The sequence below is a fragment of the Homo sapiens genome, chromosome 10, assembly GCF_000001405.40.
Source record: "Homo sapiens chromosome 10, GRCh38.p14 Primary Assembly".
NCBI classification, from domain to species: domain Eukaryota; kingdom Metazoa; phylum Chordata; class Mammalia; order Primates; family Hominidae; genus Homo; species Homo sapiens.
In genome coordinates, this window is record NC_000010.11 from 83,067,542 (window position 1) to 83,085,668 (window position 18,127).

Genomic DNA, 18,127 nt, shown 5'->3' on the forward strand with positions numbered 1-18,127 from the left:
CTGCCCTGGCCAGAACTTCCAATACTATGTTGAATAGAAGTGGTGAGAGAGGGCATCCTTGTCTTGTGCCAGTTTTTAAGGGGAATGCTTCCAGCTTTCACCCATTCAGTATGATATTGGCTGTGTGTTTGTCATATATGGCTCTTATTTTGAGGTGTGTTCCTTCAGTACCTAGTTTATTGAGAGTTTTTAACATAAAGCGATGGTGACATTTTATCGAAGCCCTTTTCTATGTCTCTTGAGAAAATAATGTGGTTTTTGTCTTTAGTTATGTTTATGTGATGAATTACATTTATTGATTTGTGTATGTTGAACCAACCTTGCAACCCAGGGATGAAGCCAACTTGATTGTGATGAATAAGCTTTTTGATGTGCTGCTGGATTTGGTTTGCTATTATTTTATTGAAGATTTTTGCATCAAAAAATATGGATGTCTTCATGGATTTCCATTTCATCCTCTTGTGAAGAAGCCATGCTAATCTTCTCTGTATCATATCCCATTTTAGTGTATGTGCTACCAAAGCAAGCATGATAATTCATTACATTACTAATTTTAATGAGGATTCCTTGGTGTTTTTCTCTAAATTTTAGTATAAAATATACTACTGATAGTTGATTTTGAAAAAATAATATTTCTTTTTGTGGTATATTACTTTTTTTTTTTTTTTTTGGAGACAGAGTCTTGCTCTGTCACCCAGGTTGGAGTGCAGTGGCATGATCTTGGCTCACTGCAAATTCCACCTCCCAGGTTCAAGTAATTCTCCTGCCTCAGCTTCCCAAGTAGCTAGGACTAAGGCATATGCCACCATGCCTGGCTAATTTTTGTATTTTTAGTAGAGATGTGGTTTTGCCATGTTGGCCAATCTGGTCTCAAACTCCTGACCTCAAGTGATCCACCTGCCTCAGCCTCTCAAAGTGCTCTGATTACAGGCATGAGCCACCATGCCTGGCCAGTGAATTACTTTTTAATACCATTTATATTCTTTTTTGAAATGTTATATTTTTTGTGATATCAAATAAGTGTAATTATGTCTCCAGGAGTGACTTTTTCCTTTCTTTTGTAAAGTTTCTATGATATTATTTTCTAATTACAATGAGTACAAATAAATAAAATTAGGAAAAACCTGACCATAATTACTAGGTAATTTCATATTTATTATTTAAAGACATATCAATTTGTATCATGATAAAAACCTTTCTGTTACTACCCACCCTATTTGTGAAGTCGTTATTAAGAGTTAGTGAATACACACTAAAGTTTATTTACAGTGGTCAATGAGACTTTTTAAATCAAATGTTTGGGCTTGAGAATTATTAAAGAAAAATTTATTTATTATAATTAAGATAAAATTAAACTTTAAATGGATGCATCACAGTTTGGAGAGTTTAGTCAGTAAAAAAAGTTATAAGAAAATCACCATAAGTTGAAATGTGCTTCTTGGATATAACAGAAAATAGTTATTATTTTTTAGATAATTGGTAATTTTCCATATGAACTTATTTCCTCTCTGACATGTATATCACTAAGGTAACTAATTTAATCTAAACAAAGTTAAACTAAACTTCAGAGTGATGACATATGAATTAGATGTTCAGCCGATTTTCTTTCTTAGAAGAAAAATTTAGAAGGCAAAATATTGGTTCATCCAATATACCCAAGGTTTATGTAGCAATTGCATTTTGCAGATTAAGGAGAAAAATGGTCATAAATCATGAATCAATACTCATGGCTTTCTTTCACAATATTCACGAGAGTAAACAAAGCAATAAGAAGTATGATATATGAAGACTGAATTATATATTATATACAAGCACCACTATTCATGGACTCTGTATTTGCAAATTCATCTTCTTACTAAAATGTATTTCTAACTCTATCCCTGAAATCAATACTCTCAGGCTTCCCAAATCTCCTTCATTCATGGACATATAAGGGGATTGGGGAAGCTGGGCAGGAGGTCTAGGGGAGAGAAAGTGGGAAAGGAAGAGAGAGGGAGAGAAAGACAGTAAGAGGCAGGGAGAGAAATGGGGACAAAGAGAGACAATGAATGAGAATAAGAGAAGGCAAAGCAGATGTTCTGGTTCCTTTTCTATTCCCACTTCTTGGTTCTAGTTCCTATGGAGGTCTATAATACATGCTAGTCCCTTGAGTTCCATTACACACCCTGGCATTCTTGCAATACATGTCATTTTGTTTGGTTTGGTTTTTGATTAGGTTAGGTGTACTTTCGTTACTTGTAAGCAATCTGCTCTCACAACAGATGAAAAAAATAAATCCCCAAGGTTTCTAAAAGATAACTTTATTTAACTTCAAATTTTCAAGTTCTTCTTCAGTTTTATTGTTTTCCGACATGGCTATTGAGAAGTTTTGTGTATAGGTAGGAAATTCTTTTTTCTGTGATTGCTTTGGAAGAGTTTTATTTTTCTATAGTTTTATTGTAATAGATCCATTCACCTATTTATTTTTATGTGCTTATTTTCATTTATTCCACTTAGTACTCTTGGAATTCTGAATTGTTGACTTTCATTAATGATAATTTTCATTCATTTTATTTTCAAATAGTTGTATCTAGGCTATCCTGTCTATATTCACCTTCTAAAAATCAAATTAAAACTGAATTTATCATCCTTTCATTTATATATCCTCATTTCTATTTCATATTCATAAGCTTTTCTCTTTGTTGGATTGTCAGTAGTTTCTTCACTCTTCTGAATTTCTAGTTTCTTTTTCTCAGAATTTAATCTGCTGCAAAAATATTGAGTCTATAATTAAACCTTTAAGCTCTTTTCTTATTTGTGTATATTTCTTTGATAAATGTACATTTTTCAAAGTTGCTAGTGTCTTGTTAATTACTTATAATTGTGTTTTTATATATATTAAACATAATTGTTTTGTTATATATTTTATAATTGACTATACCAATTTTTTAAGATTTTGCAGGCTCAATTCAGCAAGGTGTTATTTTTGCTGATTCTTCCCCATGGTGACATGTTTCCCCAGAGGGCTTGGGTTTTTTTTTTCTTCTTTTCTTTTATGTTTAGCTCATTTCCATTGGCACTTACTGAAATTCAAAGAGGGCCTGAGTCTAAAGTCTGTGCTTCCATACAGGTTTTGTTTGGGTTTCTGTCAGGTTCATTGAGTCATCACAATTTTGGACTTAGATATTTTTTCCTCACTTACCCACAGCTAAGGATTGAATAAGTATTTTTCAAGTGTTTCACTCTGATAGAAGATGTGCAATTTAAAATGCTACTCGGCATAGACCTAGCACATTTGTCTGCTGTCCTTCTGTGCATGTTATAACTTGGTTAAACCATGACTTGTTAGAAAATATCAAGAGAGCTAGTCACAGCATAAGAGTTGCTCACTTCTCCAAACTCAAACTCTGTTTCCTGATATTGAGGCATTTTTCTCTCTATATTTGGACTTCTATATATACATATAGATATTGAAACATATATTTATATAAATATTTTTTCTGTTTCACAAAGAATTTTTTTTTTTTTTTGAGATAGAGTCTCGCTCTGTTGCCCAGGCTGGAGTGCAGTGGCATGATCTCGGCTCACTGCAAGCTCCAGCTCCTGGGTTCACACCATTCTCCTACCTCAGCCTCCTGAATAGCTGGGACCACAGGTGCCCGCCACCACGCCATCTAATTTTTTGTATTTTTAATAGAGACGTGGTTTCACTGTGTTAGCCAGGATGGTCTCGATCTCCTGACCTCATGATTTGCCCACCTTGGCCTCCTAAAGTGCTGAGATGACAAGTGTGAGCCACCATGCCTGGCCCACAAAGAATTTTTACATGCTCTCTAGTGGGAATATTTCTCTGGATATCTATTAACCAATATTTCCAGAAACAGAAACATAATTTGATATTAAGAATAAACTATCTTATGCATGAGAAAACTATTAAATCCACCACGTTTGCTCTTCAAGTAGCTGTGATTAAAATATATATATAGAAGTTGACTGGCACACAATGAACAAATATATATATATATATATAACATATACATTTAAAAATATATTTATTTAATTGAAATTAAAATATTTAATATAAACATATGGCTCATGGAATAGATTTAATTATATATAATAAGTACATATATAATATGAATATAATAATTACTTGTTACATATATATAATTAAATATATTCCATGGGCCAAAGAATGCAAATAGAATGTTATCAAAGTATTTATGATGTTGGATTTAATTCTAAAATTAATCCTTTTTATAAGTTCCTAAAATTCATCAGAATATAGATAGGTAGATATATGCGTATGTCTATATATACTTCTTTAAACATTTAAATACTAATAAATCCATGAAATCATAGAAAATATAACACCAGCAAATATAAAAAATAGGAAAATTCCTGCAAAACAAAATTATATAATTTTATCTGTTGGAAAAAATGACAACCAAAAATACAAGTATATTAAGAGCATTTTGAAAAGTGAGTTATATAATAATCTATAATAATTATAATTGGGTTTCATATTTCTTCCTTCAATTATGTTAGTATTTTCTTCAGATGTTTCGCAGCTCCATGGTTCAGTGTGTATATGTTTATAATTGCTATATCTTATTAATAGATTGGCCCTTTTATCATAACAAAATGTTTTTCTTTGTCTATAGTAACTTTTGTTCTTAAAGTATATTTTACCTAATATTAACGTTGCTACTTTTAGATCTCTTTGAGTACTTTTTGCATGGAAATCTGCTTCCATCTTTGATTTTCAACATATCAGTGTCTTTTAAAATGAGTCTCTTATAGACAGTATATAGTGGAATCATGTTTCTTACATCCATTCCAATATGTGCCTTTTAATTAAAAAGTTTAATCAATTTATATTTAATGTAATTACTGATAGTGATGGGCTCACTTCTGCTATTTTGTTATTTTTCATTTATATATCTTATAAATTTTGGATTACAAATACTTTACTGCTTTCTATAGTATTAAACAGATATTTTACTTTATAACATTTTATTACAGTCTTTTTTCATAAATACACATACACATATGTATATGTGCATATATATATATGTGTGTGTGTGTATGTAATTTTCTTAGTGGTTGCCCTTTAGACAACATCTTAATTTATAGCAATCTAGTTTAAATTAATACTAATAATTTTCATAATATAAAATATTGTGCTCCTATGTATTTTTGTCCTCCTCCACCTTTATGCTGTATGGTCACAGATTATGCCTTTGTTCATTGTGTGCCAATCAACTTCCATTTATAATTATTGCTTTAAACAAATTTTAAAATATCAGATGGAAAATGAGTTACAAACAAAAAGTACCTTTAGAGTATGAATGTACAAAAAGTACTTTTTGTATTTGAAATCCAAAGTATATAATTACTTTTACCAGTAATCTTGGATAAAAACAATTTAAGAAAATACAATTATAGGACTATTTTGCTAATGATCATATATGCAAAATTCTTAAACAGTGGTAAATAAAATTCATTCAATATAGAATAGAGAAATATCTACTGACACAAAGTAGTTCAATAAATGACCATACTGATAGTACAATTCTATGGGGAGAAATACTCTAGTTAACAAATTTTATTGGGAAAATTTTTCAGTCATATTATTTTCACTCATAGCATTTAAAAAAAAATTAAAGTTAAGAAATGGCCAATAGGCGTAAAAAGAAATTTCATATAAAACATCAATATATCCAAATATGCTCTGTGGTCAATTTTATTAGTTACCAGTGATAAATAAAAGTCAGATACTAAGCCCACCAACAGATGAAACAGTCCTTCTCCTGGCCAAAGGGACCCGAGGGAAACCTTGAAAACCGAGTTCCTATCCATGACAGGCTGTGAAGTCAGACTGCCTCCTTATACCCTCTCCGTCATTAACTGTCATTAGGCTTTCTTCCCTAAGGACTAAACAGAAACCAGCCCTTTCAAAAGACTCCACCACTCCTATCAACCAACCATCTGACACTACTTCTTTATTTTCTGATAAGAGATCACTGACCATGGAATGGTTCTGGCCATCCTACTGAGAATATGCAGCGAGGGTTTTCATGTCCTCTACATTACCTTTTGACATCAGAGGGCTGAATACTCCACCCTTGGATCATGCTAATGCTGCCATTGTTTGTACATGGGACCCATGAAGAGGCATGGAGCTAATTACAAATGTGCATGTGTCTCCTCTCATAAATATTCATGACTCTTCCTGTAGCTTATTCAATATGTATATTAAGTCACCCTGCTCAGCTTAAATTTCTTTTCCCTTTGATCCTACCTCCAACTGTCTTGTTTCTGGCTTCTGGCCAAAGGTTATGCTTCCTAGCCTGTCAGAATGGCCACCCTGCAGGCTTCAACAATTTATGAGAAATAAAGTTCTCCTTTCTAAATTTATTAACATCATAATTCTTCAGATGACACCAGGTAAATGTAAAAAAAGATGTGTGTGTATTTTCCCATCAGGTTGGAAAAAGATATAAAATAACATGGTGCCAGTTAGTGTGGCTATCAATGTATACTCCCATACATAGTTGGTAGGAGTATAAATTATATTCACTTTATGTGTATGAAGAATAAAATCATGATAACATGAAAGTATATACAGCCAGTCTTCTTTATTCATGAGTTCTGTTTCCATGGATTCAACCAATCACACATTGAAGAAATTTGAAAAAAATTAACAATTACATCTGTTCTGAACATGTACAGACTTGTCATTGTTTCCTAAATATTATAGTACAAGTTATTTACATAGCACTTACATTATATTAAATATTATAAGTAATCTAGAAATGAGTGAAGTATATAGGAGAATGTGTATAGGTTACATGCAAATACTACATCATTTTATACCAGAAACTTGAGCATTCATTCATGAATTTTGGTACCTGTATGAGGTCCTGAAATGATTCTTCATGGATACAGAGAGAAAACTGTATGTCCATATGTAAAATCATGATAACATGAAAGTGTATATAGCCAGTCTTATTTATTCATGAGTTCTGTTTCCATAGAGTCAATCACACGTGTGTGTGTGTGTATATATATATATAATGTATATATGAGATATGAACATACAAGTGGTATGAAAAATGTTTGACAAAATACATATTTCATGCAGACACACATGCACCTTATGCCACACAATGTAAATGTAAAGTAAGGTTTACTGGGGAAAGCTGATAGGTGGAGGGTCCCAAAGGGCAGTGTATCTAGCTCTGTCATTGATGTCTCATGGGCAGGGACCCAGGAGAGGCAACTTGTCCCCTAAACCTCTCTATTTTTTAAAAAGTTGAAAGGGGTTGCTTGATACATCTAGTCAAATAATAGAACACAATGAAAGTTCCCCAGTGAATAACTGGTCTCATTACAAACAGGGAATCTCTGGAGCTCACTTGTTGATGTAAACATCAACTTTTGGGGCTGGCCAAGAGCTGCTGAGCTGAATAAACACCATGAAGATGGTGGAAACAAGCCTCTAGGGCTACTCAGATCTATCTCTACTCACACCAAATGAAAACAGGCATTTTTGGAGAAAAGTGAGGGATAACTTGTGTGGAAGTATTTGAAAATGAACTTTCACTTGATACATTGTGTATTCTCTGTGGCTGAATTTGTTTACCAGAAGAAAGAAATCAATCTGTCACTGTGTCGTTCCAAATTAACACAAAATAAGACATTGCTCTTGCCTTCGAGTGGTGGGAGTGATGAAAGCATGCTGTTCTTTCTAATGAGAAATGGCATGAGTTTAAATGTGTTCTAAATTTCTGGATAAATAAGCAATGTTTATATCTGAGGAAATGCATAAAAAATAAATAAAACACTTTTCTCTGGGTACAATACATGGGTTTTTTGGTGCTTTCAGCTAAAATTTAGCAAAAATCCTACAAAACTCCAGTTTAGTTCTTAAGAGTGCAATCATAGTCATTGTGTTAATAGGCCAGGCCTTTTGTAGCTGTTTTGTCCTACAAATAAATTTATGCTGTATTTTTGACTTCTTGCCAATGGAAACTCATAGCAGCTGGGAGAAGATGACAGAAAATAGCCCCTAAGCAGATAAGCAAGCCAATGATTTTTTCCATCTGACCACAAACACTTGACGGAAGCGTTTATTAAATCTGGCAGGATGTAAAGCCTTTACTGGCTTTTATTGAAAGTTGCATGTAAAGTGAAATATTTGCAAACACAGATCCATTTTTTCATACCTGTGGTTCAACAAACTAGGCACCTCCTGTTTTGGTCCTGCCACATTAGTATCCTGGTGAAGAAAAGCAATTTTTTCCTAACTTTTATCTTCTGAAAGAGAATCTAATTAATTTGTGATTGCAGCATTCATCTTACAGATATATTATCTGTGTTGCTTCATGAGCTCAGCAGCTGTGACAATGGACCTGCCATCCTGCTCAGTAATTGGAGCATCTCAGGAATACAAGGCCCAACAAAAACCCCATAACAAGTACTGTTTTGCTGGAAATATTCAGACAAATAAATTATTCCCCAACCTTTACCTGGATCTCTGATCACAGTGTCAACTTCTTGTCCCCTTGTGTCCTACTGTGCTCTTTTTTTCCCTTTTACAGATGTTGATTTGCAAATAAACCATTTATAAAAGAGAGGGGGATAGAAAAAATGTGTACTGGAGCAAGTGCAAGAGAGTGTCCCTTAATGATTCCATTTGCTGAAGCTCAAGCTTTGAAAGTAACAATTACATAACAGATGGGACATGGCTGATTGTTGAAAAACTGACACTTAACCTATTTCATCAATAAGTGGTTTAGCAATAAACAAAAATAGTAATGATGTGCTGTGGTAAATGCTATTGCTAATTGCTCTGCTCTAATTACCCAGATAGAGCCACAATAAATAATTCGGTGTCTTTATTTTTTTCTGAAACTTTTCCAGCTGCCCTCCCTCTAGAAATTGTCTTCTCCCTCATTCTTGTTTATAGAAGTCTTACCTATCTTCCAAGCAATAGAGTCTCAAGAAAGCCAGCAGAATTCTCAATCCCTGAGATGCATTCATTGGCCTTTGGTGTCGTGTACACCCTGTGACTACCATCATCACATCAGAAAATACAGCTGGATGACTAATTCCTTATCTTTCACAAGATCTGCTGTCTATTCATCTCCACCATGCTTTCTGCTCCAGAAGGCTAACTTGTACAAATTACAACCAGGAACTTTCATAAACCGTGCTTTTTGGAAATCTTTGATGAATTGGAAGCCATGCAGGAGATCAGAGAGAGAAAGGAGAATAAAGTCTGATTTTTTTTGCTTTTTTTGAGATGGAGTCTCGCTCTGTTTCCCAGGCCAGAGTACAGTGGTGCAATCTTGGCTCACTGCAACCTCCACCTCCCAGATTGAAGCAATCTTTCTGCCTCAGCGTACCGAGTAGCTGGAATAACAGCTACCCACCACCACACTTGGCTAATTTTTCTATTTTTAGTAGAGACAGGGTTTTACCATGTTGGCCAGGCTGGTCTTGAACTCCTGACCTCAAGTGATCCACCCACCTCGGCCTCCCAAAGTGCTGGGATTAGAGGCATGACCCACTGCACCCATACTAGATTTTTATTCCAATGATTTCCTCCATGGATTGACCATGTTCCTTAACCTCCATATCAGAGCTTCTTTCAAGCTGGTCTCCTTATAAACAACTACCTAAATGGTTATACTAACTCTTCCTTCCCTTATCTCTTCAGCATAGTGGTTTCACAATCTGGGGCTCACTAGTTTCAACTGTGACTTTATTCCTTGTTATCCCACCACACTCAAATTTCTATAAATAACCCCTTTGAAAGTATTCATTTTGTATAACAAACTTCTCCCAAATTTAGTGACTTTATCAAAAGCTATTTTATTTTTTCTCATAATGTTTTGGGTTAGGAATTCTAGCAGAACATGGCTGGCCAATTCTTCTGCTCCATGTAGCATTGACCAGTGTTATTTGGTGACATTTAGCTGGAGGCTGGAGTGTCCAAGAAGGCTTCACTGCTATCACTGGGACATTGGTAGGGACACCTGGAAAGCTGGTCTCAGGTTCTTCCTCTTTTCATGTAGCCTCAGGGCATCTCCACCTTGTCTTCCCAGCATAGTAGTCAGACTTCCACATGATGGATCTTACATGGCTTCAGGAGATCCTCTCTTTTTGGGCTTGAGTAGAGCAAGAGGGAAGTTGCTAGTCCTTTTAAAAACTAGGCTGGTATCTGGCTGTATTCATTTTCATTGCAACATAACAAATCCCATCATATTCACAAGTCCAATCACACTCAAGGGGATGAAGTTATACAGAATTTGTACACGAGGAGGCAGGAACCATGGGGGCCACCTTGGCAGTTTGATGATCAGTCTTCCCATGGCCCCCAATCATTCATATCCTCCCAACATGAGAAATACATTCACCCACCCCTCTCTAAAGATTCTCAGGAGTATTAGACCATTAGAGTGTCATCTCAACATTTCAGAACTCATCATCCAAGTGTGCTAAATCAGGTGAAGATGAAACTCCTAGATCTAATCCATTAAGTTTAGGTTCTAGGGAATATTTTCTCTCCATATGTAGACCGGGGAAACTAAAGAAACAAGTTATCTTCCCCTAATACCTCAAACATGCAATTGCAAAACCAGTATAGGATACCTGTTATAGATATTCAAGCTCAAAGGGGGGAAAATGGAAAGTTAAAAGGAGTAACCAGTTCCTAGAAGTTTTGTAATACAGCTGAACAAATATTGATATTTTTCTTGACTAGGATTTAAAGATTAGGAAGAAACCTCTGGGTCTTGGGCTCTGCCCTCAGGGCTATTGTTCTCATTTTCTGAGTCATCCTTCCTTTTTCATGAAAAGTAGCAAGTGTTTGAAGCTAAATAGTTTCATCAACCTGTTTGCTGCCAATAGAATTTAAATAGCCTGAAAGTCTCCTTTTGTTTCACATTCTCTTTGTCCCTTTCACTCAAGCTAGCAGTATTTCTGCTGAAAAAAAATTTCTCGAGAACATTAGGTATCTTTAATGGATTTTACTGGGTTTTACTCTTCTAGGCAAAAGATACATCCATGAATCTTTTAGGCCTTTCTAAGGATTTAGCTTTTGTTTGTAGAACTGGTTGTAGCCTTTGGTTATAGAGTTATGCCTTCATTGTAGCATTTAAATCTATTTTCTGTTTATTATGATGTTTTGACATTATTAACCTTCCCGGCTGGGGAGAAACTTCTAGCCCCAGGGCTAGCTATTCAGAGACAGCAAAGGGCTCAGCTAGGATCATGTCTTCACTAAGCAAACTAACCAACCCAGAGCCAGGTTTCCTCTTCCTGGCCAGTACAATCCAGGAGGCAATATTCCTCTGCCTTCAACATCCGACGGCCAGGTATCAGGCAAGTTGGGATCCCTCTTATACCCCAAAGCTTACAGCACTTATTCAAACTAGCCAGTCCTACATTATTTACTCTTTCTCACTTTGCCTTTCCCACAGAAACCCCAATAGAGACTGGTGTAGACTTTCCCCTTGCTCCTGTCTTCTCCACCTGACCAAAACCTGGTGCTCCCCATGTACCCCTGCTTGGCATACAATAACCCCCTCTCTAGGACCAGTGAGTATAATACACTTATGTTTTTCTGAGCCTCTCCTGTCTCCTCTCTGGTTGCACCTAATTGACCATCACCTAAAAGAACACAGAACATTCAGCCTTTTTAAAATGCCATCCTTTGGGCAATAATTTTCTCACTTTTTTTTTTTTTTTTACTTCTAACATTTTTGGTATCTAGAGAGCCTTAGAATTTTCAAAATGATCAAGCCCTGTTTTCTGTTTAACAATTATTTCTTCAATTTGTGCCTCTCCTCTCACATTTTACCATAAGCGGCAATAAAATAAACCAGGTAGAACTTTCAACACTTTACTTGGAAATCTCCTCAGCTATGTATTTAAATTTATCACTTTTGATTTCTACTCTCAAGTGCAGGGCAAAATTTTACTAAGCTTTCTAAAATTATGTAAGAAGGGGCCCCATTTCCTTTGCTTTCCAGTAATATGCCCCTCATTTCCTTCTGAGCTCTTTGGCCAGGCACGGTGGCTCACGCCTGTAATCCCAGCACTTTGGGAGGCTGAGATGGGTGGATTACCTGAGGTCAGGAGTTTGAGACCAGCCTGGCCAACATGGAGAAACCCCATCTCTACTAAAAATACAAAAATTAGCTGGGCATGGTGGTGGGCACCTGTATTCTCAGCTACTCGGGAGGCTGAGGCAGGATAATCACTTGAACCCAGAAGGCAGAGGTTGCAGTGAGCCAAGATCACTCCATTGTACTCCAGCCTGGGTGACAAGAGTGAAACTCCATGTCAAAAAAAAAAAAAAAAAAAAAGGAAATCCCATTTGCTGAGGAAAAATTCAAGCTGGGTGCAGAAATTTGCCTAAGTAACGAGGATTAGGAGTCTGTTCAAGGCAATTGAGAATTTCTCTCTGGCACCTGGATATTTGTCCAGCCTCTGCCCACTGCACACCTGCAAAGCTGCTGATGTACTTCAGGTATTTTGATATTAAAATCTGTATTAGTTTTCTATTGCTGTGTAACAAATTACTACAAATATAAAAGACTAAGCAACACAAATATATCTTTCAGATCTGTAGGTCAGACATCCGGGCACAGAAGGGTGGTTCTCTGCTCAGAGTATCATAAGGCTGAAATCAACGTGTTGGCCAGGCTGAGGTCTCATTTGAGGCTCAAGATCCACTTCCAAGCATAATAGGAATTCTGAGGGTGTAGGACCAAATTTCCCGTTTTCTTGTTGATTACTCTTCAAGGGCTACTTGTAATAACTAGAGCCTCAGTTCTTTGCCACATGTTTCATACCATAAGCCTCTTGCCACTTCAAGGTTAGCAGGAGAATTTCTCGAATGTTTTGAGTCTCTTTCTTCATGAAAGACTCAGTCTCTTTTCTGAATTATCTGATTAGTTCAGGTTTCCCCGGGATATTTTCCCCACATGCAAAATATACTCACCCCTTACCAAGAGCTTCAGAGGCTTATCCCCATCCTGGTATTGACTCAAAGTTCAGAATGTCATCATCCAAATTTAGGTCCAGGTAAACGAGGCTCTCAGAGTACAGCTTAAAATAAGCTCCTCTTGATATGAAAAAATAACATGCTTTCTGCTCCCCACATGTCAATATTTACAATGGGGTAACAGAGATTGGATAATTACAATAGACAAATCTATTTAAAAAGGGAGAAAGGCAGTTACTGATCCATAATAATTCTAAAGCCCAGCCTAGGCATAATCTGGTTACCTCTTCTCCAGGGCATAGTCCTGCTCACTGGATATGATTCTCTGTGGCTTTTGTCTCCATCCTGTGAGTAGACCCCTTATAGCTGAGCAGACCTCTCGGCTTACTTGCCCATGGTATTCCAGGAGTACCTTCTTTTTGTTCTGTCTTTAAACCTTTCATTCTAAGTAATTAAAAAAAAAATTATTGGGCTGGAAACGATGGCTCACGCCTGTAATCCCAGCACTTTAGGGGGCTGAGGAGGGTGGATCACCTGAGGTCAGGAGTTCAAGACCAGCTTGGCCAACATGGTAAAACCCTGTCTCTACCAAAAATACAAAAATTAACCAGGCATGGTGGTGCATGCCTGTAATCCCAGATACTCAGGAAGCTGAGGCAGCAGAGTCGCATGAACCGGGGAGGCAGAGGTTGCAGTGAGCTGAGACTGTACCACTGCAATCCAGACTGGGTGACAGAACAAGACTCCATCTCAAAAAAACAGAAAAAAAAATTATTGGCTTCCTTTTTGTCAAATTATACTTTACTCCCAAACCACACTCACAAATCTCTCAGATAGCATTTCCTATTCCTAGGGTCCCTGTTGCAGGAATTCAAGGACCCTGAATGGAGGGACTGGCAGAAGCCATGGCAGAAGAACATAAATTGTGAAGATTTCATGGACATTTATTAGTTCCCCAAATTAATACTTTTATAATTTCTTGTGCCTGTCTTTAATCTCTTAATCCCGTCATCTTCGTAAGCTAAGGATGAATAATGCCTCAGGACCCTGTGATGATTGTGTTAACTGCACAAATTGTTTGTAGAGCATGTGTGTTTAAACAATATGAAATCTGGGCACCTTGAAAAAGAATAGGATAACAGCGATGTTCAGGGAACAAGGGAGATAACCTTAAAGTCTGGCTGCCTGTGGACTGGGCAGGACAGAGCCATATTTCTCTTATTATTGAAAATGGGTAAGAGAAATATCGCTGAATTCTTTCCCCAGTAAGGAATATTAGTAATTAACAGCCCTGGGAAAAGAATGCATTCCCAGGGCAGGGCCTCTAAAATGGCCATTCTGGGGGTGTCTGCCTCATGCAGATGTAGATAGGGATGAAACATGCCCTAGTCTCCTGCAGCACCCCCAGGCTTGCTAGGATTAGGAAATTCCAGCCTGGTGAATTCTAGTCAGACCGGTTCTCTGCTCTTGAACCCTAACAATGTGTGCACAGCAAGACATGGAAGTTCATTAGTGACTCTAGTTTCACCCTGACCTTCTGCTTTGTGATCTTTTGTGGCCCTTGAAGCATGTGATCTCTGTGACCCACACCCTATTTGTGCACTCCCTCTCCTTTGAAAATTGCTAATAAAAACTTGTTGGTTTTACGGCTCAGGGGGCATCGGAACCTCCCGACATGTGATGTCTCCCCCAGACACCCAGCTTTAAAATTTCTCTCTTTGTACTCTTTCCCTTTATTTCTCAGACCAGCCTACACGTAGGGAAAATAGAAAAGAATCCATGATGAATTATCGGGGGTGGATTCCCCCGATAGGTCCCTGTGAGGCTGATATGGAATTGTATCAATTTTCTGGGGCTGCCATAGCAAAGTACCACAAACTGCGTGGCTTAGAAAACAGAAGTTTGCCTCACAGTTCTGGAGGTCAGAAACCCAAGATCAAGGTGTCAGCAGACTTAGTTCCTTACAAGGGCTGAGAGGAAGAGTCTGTTCCTTGCCTTTCCCTGGTTTCTGGTGGGCAACCTTTGGCTTCCTTGGCTTGTAGATGCCTCACCCCCATCACTACTCTGATGCTCACATGGTATTTTTCTTGTGTATTTACCTCCAAATTCCTCCTTTAATAAGGATGCTAATCAGAATGAATTGGGGCCTACCCTAATGATGTCATTATAACTTGGTGAAGCATTTATCTCAAAATAAAGTCACATACTGAGGTACCAGGGGTTAAGACATCTACATATGAATTTGGGGGGAGGAATACAATTCAACCCATAACAGGGACATTTTGCATAATATTCTTAGAAGACCTCTTTTATAACTGATACCATCTTCAAGGCATATAATATGGTTCAGATTTGTGTCCCCCTACAAATCTCAAGTCAAATTATAATACCCACTGTTGGAGGTGGGGCCTGGTGGGAAGTGATTGGATTATCAGGGCTGATTTCCCCATTTGATGCTGTTCTTGCGATAGAGTTCTCATGAGATCTGGTTTTTGTTGTTGTTGTTTAAGATGGAGTCTCACTCTGTCACCCAGGCTGGAGTGCAGTTGCACTGCAACCTCTGCTTCCTGGGTTCAAGCAATTCTCCTGCCTCAGCCTCCCGAGTAGCTGGGATTACAGGTGCCCACCACCACACCCGGCTAATTTTTGTATTTTTAGTAGAGACGGGTTTCACCATGTTGGCCAGGCTGGTCTCAAACTCCTGACCTCAGGTGATCTGTCCACCTCAGCTTCCCAAAGTGCTGGGATTACAGGTGTGAGCCACCATGCCTGGCTGAGTTCTGGTTGTTTAAAAGTGTGTGGTATCCCCACCTGGCAGTCCTCCTCTTGCTCTGGCCATGTAAGATGTTCCTGCTTCCTCTTCGCCTTCCACCATGATTGTAGGTTTCCTAAGACCTCCCCAGCCATGCTTCCTGTACAGCCTGCGGAACCACGAGCCAATTAAACTTCTTTTCTTCATAAATTGCCCAGTCTCAGGTATTTCTTTACAGCAGCGTGAAAATGGATTAGTACAGCATATTCTGAATATTCTTAGAAAGCTGAACCTTTCTTAGGTCTTAATAAAGGTCTCTTAGCCATGCCTCTGACTTTCCTTTTACCCTGAGATCAAATTTTATTGAGCCGGATTTGAACTTTGCCTTGAGGCCAATCCTCCCTTGAGAACCTTTTGCAAGTTAGGAAGGCCATCCTGGGCTTTCTATATTCTTTCTAAATTCTGGTGAAAAACTAAAAGTCCTTCTCTATCTCTTTTTTGTTGTATCTCTTTGCTCATAGGTAGCTAGAAAAAAGTGAGTTAAAACTTTCTGTATATCACCTAGAAAAAATTTTCCATCAACTTCAGAAGTATATGAAGCATCTTTTATATTTTCCATGTTGCCATAGGCAACAGTGTTGCTTCTGTCACAACATAAAAATAGCCCTATTTTTTTTTCTCTAGCCTCCCATAACATTGTCCTTATGTTTTTCAAGCCTTTCCCAGCAGTCTCCATAAGGCCCTTCCAACTTGCACTGAGTCTCTTTGAGTGTCTTCCAGCTCTCATTCTGCAACTTGTCTCAAAGCCAATGTCACATAGTCTTGTTTTCCTGTTAGAACAGCATCCCATTTCCTGGTACCAAATTCTGCTCTTGTTGTTTGTTGCTGCATAACAATCTACCCACAGAATTAGTGGATGAAAATGACTGTGATGTTATGCCTTACAATTTTTTGTGTCAGGAATTAGCACAAGGTTGCCAATTCTTCTGCCTCATGTTACTTTACCCAGTGGTGTTAATCTGGTAGTGGGTCTGGTCTGGAAAACACACTTTGGTGGGGATTACTGGAACCCTGGGCTAACTGACCCCTTCTTCCTTTCAGTGGAGTCTCAGGACATATCTATGTGGTCTTTCCTGAAGTCTAGTCTTAATTCTTATATGGTGGCTTCAGGTTTGGATAGGCCAAGGTGGAAACTGCTAGTCATCTTAAAGGTATAATTTGGTTTCAGTGAAGTAAGAAAAAGAAATATATTGGTTTACACAAAAGAGCCAACATCCTACTATTTTTTTCTTGTTCCAGAACTATTTCAAAGTTCCAGTATCTATGTCATAACCTAATCTGAAATGGCCTTAATTTTCTTGATATCCCATAGAATTTAATGCTATTCCATGACATTGAGATGTATTTGGATCCTTGTAATAGATTTCATTACTGTCCCAAAGCTTTACTCCTTCCTTTATCTAAGCCTTTTGTCATGTTACTTTGGTTCCCTCCACAGTAGTGAACTATTTGGAGAAGAGACCAAGATGGCTGACTAGACACAGGTAGTACGTGCCTCCAACATGGAGAAGAGCCAGAATAGTAAGTAGATACTCATACTCTGAACAGATCTTCTAAGAAAGAATGCTTGCATTCATCAGAGAAGAGATAGGAAGTGCCAAATGTAAGTAAGGATAGGGTTCAAGGCAGTTTGTCTAGTCAGGAACCAACTGAGAGCTGAGAGGAGCTCCTGGATATGGAGAAATGGTAAAAGAGAAATCTCCAGAGCTCCAAAACAGGCTTTAACAATTTGGGTTATAGGATAAACCCTTGACCCACTAGGGCATTGGGCCTGACATATGGAGCTGCCAAGTATTTACAGATGGATATTGCTTCAGAAAGGCACAATCTATGCTCACTGCAACCTCTACCTCCTGGGTTCAAGTGATTCTTGTGCCTCAGCCTCCCAAGTAGCTGGGATAACAGGCTTTGTGCTACCCTGCACCTGGCTAATTTTTATTTTTTTTCCTTCTCCTTTTTTTTTTTTTTTTTTTTTTGGTATTTTTAGTAGAGATGGGGTTTTGCCATGCTGCCCAGGCTGGTCTCGAACTCTTGGCTCAGGCAATCTGCTTGCCTTGGCCTCGCAAACTGCTAGGATTACAGGCATGGGCTGCCATGCCCAGCCCATCTCAACTTTTTATGTGAAAGTATTTACAACCTATAATGGAGTCTAACACAGGTCTCACCTAAGATATGAAGAGATAAATGCCTTAAGTTGGTATGTAGGAAATGAAAGTTTAATGATAGGAACCATGCATGGCTTGTAGGTTATATACATTCATGAGTGAGATAATATTAAAAGTTAGCCCTAAATAATGTTTAGAAACTTTTTACGG

General features: G+C 37.6%; 1 pseudogene, besides 1 other annotated feature; it reads right to left on the reverse strand.

Moving 5' to 3' along the window:
- Positions 421 to 530, reverse strand: RNU6-478P (RNA, U6 small nuclear 478, pseudogene; annotated as a pseudogene).
- Positions 10,766 to 11,327: an enhancer, noted in NCBI's record as "NANOG-H3K27ac hESC enhancer chr10:84838063-84838624 (GRCh37/hg19 assembly coordinates)". NCBI's record gives its function as "activates a minimal SCP1, AML or CMV promoter by ChIP-STARR-seq in naive H9 embryonic stem cells {active_cell/tissue: H9 hESC(naive)}" and the evidence as "EXISTENCE:reporter gene assay evidence [ECO:0000049][PMID:30033119]".